The 12,062-nt window shown below is 45.6% G+C and overlaps 1 protein-coding gene and 1 long non-coding RNA gene across 3 annotated transcripts in view, besides 3 other annotated features; one reads left to right on the forward strand and one right to left on the reverse strand.

Moving 5' to 3' along the window:
- The window catches only part of CDR2 (cerebellar degeneration related protein 2), a 28,684-nt gene extending 26,465 nt beyond the window's left edge, over nucleotides 1-2,219 (reverse strand). For both annotated transcript variants that reach the window (XM_024450143.2, NM_001802.2), the window contains exon 1: nucleotides 1,831-2,219. Coding sequence is in view for 1 of the 2 variants with exons in the window: in NM_001802.2 (NP_001793.1) it covers nucleotides 1,831-1,909 (79 nt within the window). In the remaining variant the exon portion in view is untranslated. The remainder of the gene's footprint in view (nucleotides 1-1,830) is intronic.
- Nucleotides 1,752-1,981: a silencer, noted in NCBI's record as "silent region_7269". NCBI's record gives its function as "represses an Ori minimal core promoter by ATAC-STARR-seq in GM12878 lymphoblastoid cells {active_cell/tissue: GM12878}" and the evidence as "EXISTENCE:reporter gene assay evidence [ECO:0000049][PMID:35858748]".
- On the forward strand, nucleotides 2,487-5,780 carry CDR2-DT (CDR2 divergent transcript). Its single transcript, NR_148970.1, has 3 exons — nucleotides 2,487-2,823; nucleotides 2,927-3,160; nucleotides 5,741-5,780. It is a non-coding gene; the product is annotated as a CDR2 divergent transcript (long non-coding RNA).
- Nucleotides 2,522-2,601: an enhancer, noted in NCBI's record as "active region_10572". NCBI's record gives its function as "activates an Ori minimal core promoter by ATAC-STARR-seq in GM12878 lymphoblastoid cells {active_cell/tissue: GM12878}" and the evidence as "EXISTENCE:reporter gene assay evidence [ECO:0000049][PMID:35858748]".
- Nucleotides 2,942-2,991: an enhancer, noted in NCBI's record as "active region_10573". NCBI's record gives its function as "activates an Ori minimal core promoter by ATAC-STARR-seq in GM12878 lymphoblastoid cells {active_cell/tissue: GM12878}" and the evidence as "EXISTENCE:reporter gene assay evidence [ECO:0000049][PMID:35858748]".
- Nucleotides 5,781-12,062: the final 6,282 nt, after the last annotated feature.

Below are 12,062 nucleotides of genomic sequence, written 5' to 3' on the forward strand. Positions count from 1 at the left end.
CAACAAATATTAAAATCGAGCTTCCAGTATGTGCCAAGTATTATGCTAGATGCTGGAAACACAAGAAAAAAGAACCTGCCCCCTCTATGCCCTTAAAGATTAATGCTTCTTAAATACAGGAAAGAGAAATATTTAGTTGTGATGATACAAATTAAATTATAGGGAAGTACTGCAGTGGTACAGTGGTTGCCTCACAAATCCTGGAGAAACTATCAAACTAGGCCATCAATCCTTACGGGGAAATCTGAAAACAGGTTTGTTAATATGTATAATAAATTTGTCTCTTGGACATAAAGAAGATGGTGCCAAACACTGCACTGCAACCACTAAGTAGCTTGGACTCTGTAAGTGTAATAAAGGTGAATTACTTTGGTTAAAGTGATTGCATGTTAATTTAAGAAATTATCTTCCTCCAAAAGAGGTGCTCATTTTATTTTCCTTTTCTGAGTTATTCAGGTCTACATTCTTTTCTTCTGCCATGTTCAGTGGTTAGCATGAACAAGCAACATGATCATTTAATATTCAACTAAATGAGATGTTAATTTTCATTGCAAGATTAGAGCTGAGAGCATTTACACAGAATTGCAGAAACTGAAGATGCCTGGAAAAATTCCTGAGGATTGTTCAGTACTCAGTATAGCGGTTAAGAACGTTTGCTCTGGAGTCTTAAGGAGAACCCTAGCACTCCCCAACATTACTACCTCTATTGTGTTACTGGGAGAATTAAATGAGCAACTGTGTTATGGGCCTATCAGTGTTAGGCACATAAAAAGTGTTCCCCAACTGCTAGCTCCTGCTATTAGTATAAGAAAAACAGGGGCCCCACTGGCCCCAAAGAGTGGGCTACTCTACGATTGTTCTCTGGAGACACCATCGGCAGGCCTGTTTCTAAGTGAAAGCTGGCGTGCAAACTGAAGAAAAGTGGCAGAGATAGATGCGCTCTTTCTTCTGTCGTTTCAATTGGCATCTGGTGAACTATGCCTAACAGCTTAACGCCCAACTGAAAAAAACTGTAAACTAGGATGGTAAGGAAGAGATGGGGTTTGAGCAGTGACTACAACTCTTCTTCTGAGTGTGTGGGTTCAAAAAACACTCCCTCCCACACTTAGCTTTAGGCAAGCCACTTTACCGTTTTAATCTCCGCTTTCCTCATATGGAAAATGGGATAACAAAAGTGTGTAATTGGATTGTTTGTACCTCAATGGATAAATGCTGGGATGGACGCCCCGTTCTCCATCACGTGCTTATTTCACACTGCGTGCCTGTATCCAAACATCTCATGTACCCCACAAATATATACACCTACCATGTACCCTCAAACATTAATTTTTAAAAAGTTACTGTCTCCTGGAGTTACGGTGCGGAGCGCACAGCTCCCGCTACGCCGCAAAACAACTACCACCTGCAGCAGCCGGCCCTCCACGCTGGCCATGAAAGGCGCTGGGCTAGACAGCCTGCGACGGGGCGGCTTCTCGGGCTATGCCACTTACTGCGGGACACACTGGCTCACCCGGGTCTGCCTCGGAGGAATGCAGTGAGGATTAAACTAGCTAATCCACGGAAAGCGCTTAAAACGGTGCCTGGCTCGTCCCTGGCCCCCACGCGCCTCGGGGCTGATATTCAACTGCGCATTAGCAAGGCCGTGGGCCCCGTGCCGAGGCTTCCTGCGGGCGGGATCCGCGGGCACGGCCGGCCCAGCCGCCAGGTGAGCCTGAGCCCTTCCCGGCACCTGCATCCTCCGCCGCCACAAAAAGCAACTTTTTAACAGTTTCGCAGCGGGGGCCTCCCGGGCCAGGCCGCCGCCCGCCCGCGGGGCGCCCCCGCCCTCACCTTGCTGGAGGTCCTGGTGGTCGTACCACGGCTCGTCCTCCTTCATCTCAAACTCCTCTACCAGGTTTTCCGCCAGCATCTCGGCTGGGTCTTCTAGGGGCAGCGGCCCCCGCCGCCGTCCCGCCTCAGCCGCTGCCCCGGGCTCTTCCCCGGCCCCTCCGCCCTCAGCCAGAGCCGCCCTCGGGCGGGACGCGCCGCCGCCCAGACTCCGCTGCGCCGCCTCAGCCCCGTTCCCGCCGGCGGCCGCCGACCGGCCGGCTGCCTCGACTCGCCTCGCGCCTACCGACGGCCCCAACGGCCGGGCATTACGGTGCGAACGCCTGGAGCCGGAGTCTCACGCAGCCGCCAGTCTTCACGCCGCCGCCGGGCCCAACGTGGCACTTTGGCAGAACCCTCCCCGGCCGGGGATGCGATTCAAACCCCCGGCGGCGCCTCAACCAATCGCGAGCGGGCTGCTGGCCGAGCGGCAGGGACTTCGTCCAATCGCCTCTCTCCAAAGACCGGCGGCTCGCCCGGTATCGAGGGCAAGCAGCCAATGGTGGGTCCGGAATAAACAAAGAAGGCGGGGAAAGAGTGAAGGGGTGCGGCCGAAAGCCCGTCCCCTGATCTGCGCTGTGAGGCTCCTAGGAGGGCGTTCTGGGTTTCGGGCTGGGGAGCTGGCAGAGGCGCGTCTTACCCCTGTGGTGGGTGTCCCGAGGCCGGCGCGTCTGTGGACAGGCAACGCAGGCCGGAGGGCCTAGGACTCCGGCCTCTGAGAGGCGGGCGGTTGTCCAGGGGAGTCCTTCGTGCCGGCGGGAAGCGCAAGGGTGCCGGAAGCCTGAGGTCCGCCGCCCGGCCACCCCTTCTCGCATCTTGACTCTGAGATTTGCTCCGGGTCCGGCGGGGAGACTCGAGGTCGATCGGGAGTTTGGGTTGAGAAAACGCCCACTGAGCGGTAGCTCTTGTCTCCTTGACATCTGAGCCCTGGGAATTAAACTCACGCTACATAAAACGGTGGGCACCAGACCCCCTTGAGAATCTGGGGCGGTGAGGGATGCCCGAAGCTGTCCACTTGGAGGGCGAAAATTGTAAGCAGTGTTGCAACGATTTTTAAAAGGTACCCCTAGACCACAAGTTAAGCATCTGGGGACGTGACATTGCACCTGGAGGGGACAGGCTGCAGCTCCAGCACTTAGTAGCCAGCGAGGCAGAGCACGCTGTCCTCCACCGACATAACCCAGCAAATACTGCTCCTAGGTAAAGCTTTAAGCACCATCTTGCAGACAAAGCACGGAAACTCTTAAGCAGGATGACAGACCTGAAGGTCAATGTTCTCAACCTTGACGTAAAGGTAAAGGTGCAGCTGATGGAAGACAACAGGGCCAATATCTAACTAACTTTGAGCAACGAAACAAAAAAAAATCGAGGTTTAAGTATACAATTGAAAGATTATCTCTAGAACATGAGGTAATAAACTGTTAGAAATTCAGAGAGAGGGAAGAGGTGGAGAGGAGTGTTAAATCCTGATCTATTTTAGAAGTGAGTCGACAGATAATACCTTACATTGATAATCCAATGAATAGTTTCCACAAATATGGAGAGAGCTGCCAGAACTAAAAATGGGAAGCAATTAAGAGTTTTCCGAGGCTGGACACGGTGGCTCACGCCTGTAATCCCAGCATTTTGGGAGGCCGAGGCGGGCGGATCACCTGAGGTCGAGAGTTCGAGGCCAGCCTGACCAACATGGAGAAACCCCATCTCTACTAAAAATACAAAATTAGCTGGGCGTGGTGGCGCATGCCTGTAATCCCAACTACTTGGAAGGCTGAGGCAGGAGAATTGCTTGAAACCCGGGAGGTGGAAGTTGCAGTGAGCCGAGATTGCGCCATTGCACTCCAGCCTGGGCAAAAACTGCGTCTCAAAAACCAAACAAAAAAAAAAAGTTTTCCTAAGAGGAGGAGTGATTTGAGGCTGGGGACTTTGGCTTTTTGTTATAAACCCTTCTGTGATCTTGCTTTTTTAGTTACTTGCACATTAAAAATAAGGGAAATTGTAGGGAAGGAATTATAGACTCAAGCTACTTTTTTTGTCTTTCTGTATAAAAAAAGACTTGGGTAATTTGGAAGGGGGGAAAAACTCATCCTGAATAATTCTTGTGGGTAATAAAATTCAGGGTGTCTCTCTGCCTCCCATCTTTGCTCAAACCAGCATAACCTAACCTCACGCTGATGCTGTATCAAACAGCACTTGACTCCAGGGTTACCTTACACATAGGCTGTAGGCTACTCTGGAGAAGTCTTGCCAAGGACAAGACCTCCCACTGTGGAGTTGTTACCTGAAGTTTTACCCTTCAGTCCTTAAAGGAGACTGCTGAATAGAGTGGAAAGCACAAGGGACCTAGAGTGAGAAAACCTAGAGTTCTCGCCATACTCAGTACCAGCAGAGAAGCCTTTTAGCAAACAGTTTACAGGAAAGATGATTGTTTGCCTTGCTCACAGAGCTATCTGAATCAGAGAGACCCTGAAAGCAAGTATTTTGTGCTCATTTTAAATGTAAGGCTGTGTTCTTGTGACCTATACTGTAGAAGTGCAGGTACCCTTGAGGACCAATTATGAGCATCACAATAAATAATCATAGTAATGGATTATAACCCATTGAATAAAAAGGAAAGAATCCATGAGTCCATACTGACATAAATAAATGGGAGAGAAAAGAAAACTTTCTTACAGTAGGATGCCAAGCAAAAAATGTAGAAGGAATAACACTGTTAGAAAGTAATAATAATAATAAAAGAGGAATGGTAAACTCACAAATCCCTTTCTTCAAAAAGGCAAAATGTTACTGGCACACCTGTAGTCCCAGCTACTTGGGGGGCTGAGGTGAGAGAATTGCTTGAGTCCAGGAGTTTGAGGTTACGATGAGCTATGATAGGTGACAGCAGAGCAAGACCCTGTCTCAAAAAAAAAAAAAAAAAAAAAAAAAAAAAAGGCTGTGTACAGTGGCTCATGCCGTAATCCCAGCTCTTTGGGAGGCTGAGGCAGGCAGATCACCTGAGGTTGGGAGTTCAAGACCAGCCTGGCCAATAAGGTGGCCCATCTCTACTAAAAATACAAAAATTAGCCGGGAGTGGTGGTGCAAGCCTGTAATCCCAGCTACATGGGAGGCCAAGACACAAGAATCCTTTGAACCTTGGAGGCAGAGGTTGCAGTGATCCGAGACCGTGACACTGTACTCCAGCCTGGGCAATAGAGTGAGACTCTGTCTCAAAAAAAAAAAAAAAAAAAGAAAGAAAGAAAAGAAAGTGAGGTCCTGTAAAGCCTCTTCTACTGCCCTAGTTGTCCATCGAGATATTCAGAGTTGAAATAAGATCACTTCAAACAAACTATCTTAATCACTAAAGATAGAACCCTTTGGAAAGATAGCAAGTTGGATTTAGGAATAATTGGCAATGGTGATTTGTGGAAGCTAAAGGGCTAGAATCATGCAGGGGCATTTTTTTTTTTTTTTTTTTTGAGAGAGTCTCACGCTTGTCACCCAGGCTGGAGTGCGATGGCGTGATCTTGGCTCACTGCAACCTCCGCCTCCTGGGTTCAAGTGATTCTCCTGCCTCAGCCTCCCAAGTAGCTGGGATTAAAGGCGCCCACCACCACGCCTGGCTAATTTTTGAATTTTTAATAGAGATGGGGTTTCAGCATGTTGGCCAGGCTGGACTTGAACTCCTGACCTCAGGCAATCCACCAGCCTCAGCCTCCCAAAGTGCTAGGATTACAGGTGTGAGCCACCGTGCACGGCCCCCTTCACGATTCTTATCACTGATTCGCAAGGTTCAAAGTGCCCGCTGTTTGCTCCATCGAAAACAGAAGCTCATTTTGACTTCAAATGCATATTGAAATGTTCTTTAACAATTCTCCATTTTTTTTTTCTTTTTCAGAGTCTCACCATGTGGCCCAGGCTGGAGTGCAGTGACACCATCTCTGCTCACTGTCACCTCCACCTCCCTGGTTCAAGTGATTCTCGTGCCTCAGCCTCCTGAGTAGCTGGAATTACAGGCATGTGCCACCATATTCGGCTAGTTTTTGTGTTTCAAGTAGAGTCAGGGTTTAGCCATGTTGGCCAGGCTGATCTCAAACTCCTGGCCTCAAGTGATCCGCCTGCCTCAGCCTCCCAAAGTGCTAGGATTACAGGTGTGAGCCACCGCGCCCAGTCAACAATTCTCCTTTAAAAAAGAAAAGAAAAGAAAAGAAAGATATGGAGAATTAAAGTTTTTGAGGGTCAGGCGTGGTGGCTCACGCCTGTAATCTCAGCACTTTGGGAGGCCTAGGTGGGCAGATCACGAGGTCAGGAGTTTGAGACCAGCCTGGCCAACATGGTGAAACCACGTCTCTACTAAAAATACAAAAATTAGCTGGGCATGGTGGCGCATGCCTGGAATCCCAGCTACTTGGGAGGCCAAGGCAGGAGAATCACTTGAACCCGGGAGGCAGAGGTTGCAGTGAGCCGAGATCATGCCACCGCACTCCAGCCTGGGCAACAGAGTGAGACTTCCTCTCAAAAAAAATAAATAAGTGAATAAATAAAGTTATTGATAGTTTAAAAAAGCAAAAAAACCCACAAACTTTATGTCTTTTGGTGTGTTATTGGGTTGTTTTTAAGGACACTATTTAAGGAAACTTCTTTTCCCCTGGAAAATCTTGAACAAAAATTGCATTGAAAAACTGGTGTCAGTTTTCTGTGCTAAATTTGGTGAAGTTTCCATTGTTCTTTTAGAGTCTACTCAGTCATGGTTTAGAAGCAATCATAAGTAACCTCTTCAGTGACGTTAATATTATTTGGTTTAGTAGGTTAGTAAATAACCACCCAAGTTGATTCCAAAAGGAGAATTTATGGTGTTCATAATAATTCACCATTATTTAATGAACTTGCCCAGCCTAACTAACCATGGCACCATTTTGCTACTATTTAATTCTTTTTGTTTGTTTGTTTCTTCGTTTATTTTTGAGACAAGATGTCACTCTGTCACCCAGGCTGGAGTACAGTGGCGCTATCACAGCTCACTGAAGCTTCAACCTCCCAGGGCTCAGGTGATCCTCCTACCTCAGCCTCCCTAGTAGCTGGGACTACAGGCATGTGCGACCACATCTGGCTAATTTTTGTATTCTCTGTTGAGACAGGTTTTCACCATGTTGCCCAGGTTGGTCTTGAACTCCTGGGCTCAAACAATCTGCCTGTCTTGGCCTCCCAAAATGCTGGGATTGCAGGCCTGAGTCACCATGCCTGGCCAACTTTATAAGTTTTCTTTATAAAATATGTTGTGATAAATAAGATCAGATTCAGAAATCCTTTGTCTTCGGTTGTAAAGATAAAATGCTCTTGTTCTCTTTTGTTTTATTGCTATAGTAAAGTCATGTAAGGAGAGTTTTTAGGTAGCAATGGGGGCTTTAAAAAAATTGTAAGTGGTGATTTTCAGTTTGATACTTACAGAAATAAGTATTTACTATGATAACAGTAATCTATTTTTAAGGAAAATTTGTATTATTTTAATTATTTTTATGTACAGAAAACTTAACAGTGTACATTTAACCCAGTTTAGTGGCAAGTTCTTTAGCCTTTGCCCTTTCGAGCTTGGCGATACGAGCCACAGACTTAGGACCCAGGACGTTGCCGCCCCAGTGACGGTGGATCTCATAGTATCTGCCATTGTAATTGGGATGACAGTAATCTAAAGGAAAATATTAATGGCTCCTTTTGCAGAAGGAAATAAAGATTTCTACTTCACGCAATATGTAAAAACAAAGAGAAGTTCAGAATGTAGACTTTTTTAAATTTTTAATGTTTTAAATTTTTTTTTTTTTTTTTGAAACAGTGTCTCTGTTGCCCAGGCTAGAGCGCAGTGGCATGATCTTGGCTCATTGCAACCTCCACCTCTCAGTTTCAAGCATTCTCCTGCCTCAGCCTCCTGAGTAGCTGGGATTACCGGCACCTGCCACCACACCCGGCTAATTTTTGTATTTTTAGTAGAGATGGGGTTCCACCATGTTGGCCAGGCTGGTCTCAAACTCTTGACCTCAAGTGATCTGCCCACCTCGGCCTCCCAAAGTGCTGGGATTACAGGCGTGAGCCACTGTGCCTGGCCACGAAGTTCAGACCGTAGAGTTTTTCATAATGCAATTGAAACCTTATATTCTTATGTTTCGGACAGGCTGGGTACTTAACTTAAATCTTTGAAAAAAAAATTGAATTCAACTCTCAGAAAGCTTATGGCCTTTTGCAGAATTATAAGTTTACAAATACCTGCCATGCAACTTAGTGATAGATCAGATTAGAAAGGTGCAGCATGCTTCTTGTTTTAGCACGCCTGAAATAAAACTAAAAGAAACAAGAGTCCCTAGGTTTTGGTAGGCTAAATTTGTGTCTTGGCTTTTGATTCTACTGTCTCCCTTGTTTTTGACTCTTTTAGTAACCAAGCAACCTCTAGCCTCAGTCTTCATTCTCAGGGATGAACTCCTTAGAGTGAAGTCTTCACTGGTAGTTCCCAGCATTTTGAAATCTGAGAATTGCTTTTAAAGTAAAAAATGTTGGCTGGCCTCCACACAATAGTAGTTTTGAAGTGTTTGGGAACTGCATCATGATGAAAACAATCAGATTTGTATTTTTAATCATTATAGCAGAAGCTACAAACATTTTAAGAATACAAGTACACATGTGGACAAAACATTCTTTATTCTATAGACAATGCTTGGTATGCATATGGGTTTGATAACCCATTTTTGATAATTCTAGGACCCTGCCACTCATAGAATTAGAGTCTTCTTTTTTTTTTTTTTTTAATTTGAGACAGGGTCTTGTTCTGTTGCCCAGGCTAAAGCGCAGTGGCGAGATCATAGCTCATTGCAGCCTCAAACTCCTGGGCTCAACCAATCCACCCGCCTCAGCCTCCTGAATAGCTAGGACTACTGATCTGCACCACCACACGTAGCTGAATTATAATCATTCTTGGGTCTACTTGGTGCAAAGTGAAGTGTAGAGACCTTAAATAATTTGGTCATTTGAGCCAAATGCCAACTTCCTCCTTCTGACTTGCCCTCTTTTTCCCTAAGAAATTTGGCAGTGTAGACCGAACTGTCTGCTTAATTCTGTTCCTGGATCTACAAAGTTAAAGCGAGGCCCAAGGATTACTCAAGCAAGTAACATCCTTTGAGTTATCTGAATCTGTGTCTGTTTTCTGACTGAATAAGATGCAGAGACCTGGCTAAATATTCAAGTAAGCCAAGAATAGAACAGAAAGATCATGGTATTCTCTTTAAACTATAGTCAAGATTGAAAGGAAGATGAATCTATGCCTTCCTCTTGCTTGGTTAGCCTTTTCCTGTTTTCTACTTATAAAAATCAAAGGGTAAGACAGACAATAGGCTAGATTTAAGATAGGCCCATACAAGGATCTCAGCAAGGATCAGAATGTGTTATTTCTGTACCCATTGTAGTGATGTCCTTGCTGTCAAAGCTACAGAAGATCAAGAATAAGTCTTCAAATGCAAGTCTGTACTACTGAATGAACAACTTTAAACTAAGATGAGGGACTTATTTTCTTTTTGACTTGAGCAAAAGGCTGTCACCTTGTTGTTCTGTTTCTGTTGTACCCTACCAAGTAAGGAGGATAATAATGGCATAAACATATCTCCTTGACACTAGTTAATCATGTCCAAGCTCTTGGATGAATCCCACTTTATTTTATATATTTTTTTGAGGTGGAGTCTTGCTCTGTCGCCCAGGCTGGACTGTAGTAGTGCCATCTCAGTTCACTGCAACCTCTGCTTCTGGCGTTCAAGCAATTCTCCTGCCTCAGCCTCCCAAGTAGCTGGGACTACAGGTGCATGCCACCACACCCAGGTAATTTTTGTATTTTTGTGGAGATGAGGTTTTGCCCTGTTGGCCAGGCTGAAATCCCACTTTATAAGTTCGAAGAGATAGACAAAAATATAAGTGGAGTCATACTCTATGCAAACTAGGTTTCCTGGCGAGCATCTCAAAAAATATTGAGTGAATAGATAAGGAAGTAAGGTGTTAAATCTGGTGACATACTCACAGCTCGTAGGTTTGAACTCTTATTTGGCTAAAATAAGTACTGGCCAGCCATGTTTTGCCCCCCCATCCACTACTGTGTGCAGTGAATTTTAACCTTTTTTTTTTTTTTTAAACAAAGGGAAGAAGAGTTCCTCTGCATGGAAAATGACACTTTTAAATATCAAACCCATTGCTTGGGCATACTCTATGATGACATTAGGGACTGAAATGCTGAATTCTGTCTTTGGTTTCTACTATGTGAAACTTTTTCTACATCTGTACAAGATTTCAGAAGTGGCCTTTTATCAAGCCCAGGTGAGATGGAATCTTTACTGTCCTTTCACATAGGACAGATCTCCTTCCTTTGAGGGAAAGAGAGATTTTTATTTTTTATTTTACTTTATTTTCTTTTATTTATTTTTTTTGAGACGGAGTCTCACTCTGTTGCCCAGGCTGGAGTGCAGTGGCACGATCTCGGCTCACTGCAAGCTCCGCCTCCTGGGTTCACGCCATCCTTCTGCCTCAGCCTCTCGAGTAGCTGGGACTACAGGCACCCGCCACCACACCCGGCTAATTTTTTGTATTTTTTAGTACAGACAGGGTTTCACTGTGTTAGCCAGGATAGTCTCAATCTCCTGACCTCGTGATCCACCCGCCTCGGCCTCCCAAAGTGCTGGGATTACAGGCGTGAGCCACCGCGCCTGGCCTTTTATTTTATTTTTTGAGACAGAGTTTTGCTCTGTCACCCAGGCTGGAGTGCAGTGCACAATCTCGGTTCACTGCAACCTCCACCTCCCCAATTCAAGTGATTCGCCTGCCTCGGCCTCCCCAATAGCTGCGATTACAGGCCCATGCCACTACGCCCGGCGAATTGTTGTATTTTTAATAGAGACAGGGTTTTGCCATGTTGGCCAGGCTGGTCTCAAACCCATGACTTCAGGTGATCTACCCACTTTGGCCTCCCAAAGTGCTGGGATTACAGGTGTGAGCCATCGCGCCCAGCCGGAAAGAGAGATTTTTAAAAGATTGCTAGTTAAAATGTAAAGGCATTAGAATTTAAAGAATAAGCTTAGGTTGTCTGGAAAATTAATTTATATGGAAAAATCAGTATTATTACTAAGATATCCAGTCTCTGTCCCTCTCTTTTTTTTTTTTTTTTTTCTGAGACTGCTCTGTTGCCCAGGCTGGTATGCAGTGGTGCAATCATAGCTCACTGCAGGCTTGACCTCCCTAGGATCAAGCAATCCTCCTGGCTCAGCTTCCTGAGTAGGATGACAGGTGTGAGCCACCACACCTGGCTATTTTTTTTTTTTTTTTTTTTTAGAAATAGGGGTCTCACTATGTTGTCCAGGCTGGTCTCGAACTCCTGGGCTCAAGCAATCCTCCTGCCTCAGCCTCCCAAACTGTTGGGATTACAGGCATGAGCCACTGTGCCCAGTCCTAAAATATTCTGTTTTGAAAAGGCCCACAGTATTCACAAATTGTGTTGTAACTCATTACCAATTAGGTGGCAGGCTGGAAGAGTTCATGGTTTTAAAACCCTTATATTTTATAATGTTACTCATTTATTACCAGTAATAACATACTAATTAGATTTAATTTGAAATGCCAAACATTGATATTTTAACCTTTCCTAATGAAATTATGTAAAACTATGCCTTGGTGTAAACAGGCCATCAACCTTTGCAGAGGCATGGCCCTGTGTGCTGTTGTTGGAAGGCAGTCTAGCACAAGATTGAAAGCACATGCTATGGGGTCGTCTACCTTGGGTTAGACCCTGGCTCTGTTGTTTATTAGCTAGGCAAGTTGCTTAACTTCTCTGGCTCTCAGTTTTCTCATTTGTAAAGTCAGAGTAATACTTGCCTCAAAGGATTGTTTTTTGTTTGTGTGTTTGTTTGTGATGGGAGTCTTGCTCTGTCACCCAGACTGCAGTGCAGCGGTATGATCACGGTTCACTGCACCTCGACCTCCTAGGCTCAAGCAGTCCTCTTACCTCAGTCTCCAAGTAGCTGGGACTACAGGTGCACACCACCATGCCCAGCTAATTAAATAAAAAAAATTTTTTGGCCGGGCGTGGTGCCTCACGCCTGTAATCCCAGAACTTTGGGAGGCTGAGGTGGGTGGATCACCTGAGGTCAGGATTTGGAGACCAGCCTGGCCAACATGGTGAAACCCCGTCTCTACTCTAATAC

The sequence above is a fragment of the Homo sapiens genome, chromosome 16 (assembly GCF_000001405.40).
Source record: "Homo sapiens chromosome 16, GRCh38.p14 Primary Assembly".
Classification (NCBI taxonomy): domain Eukaryota; kingdom Metazoa; phylum Chordata; class Mammalia; order Primates; family Hominidae; genus Homo; species Homo sapiens.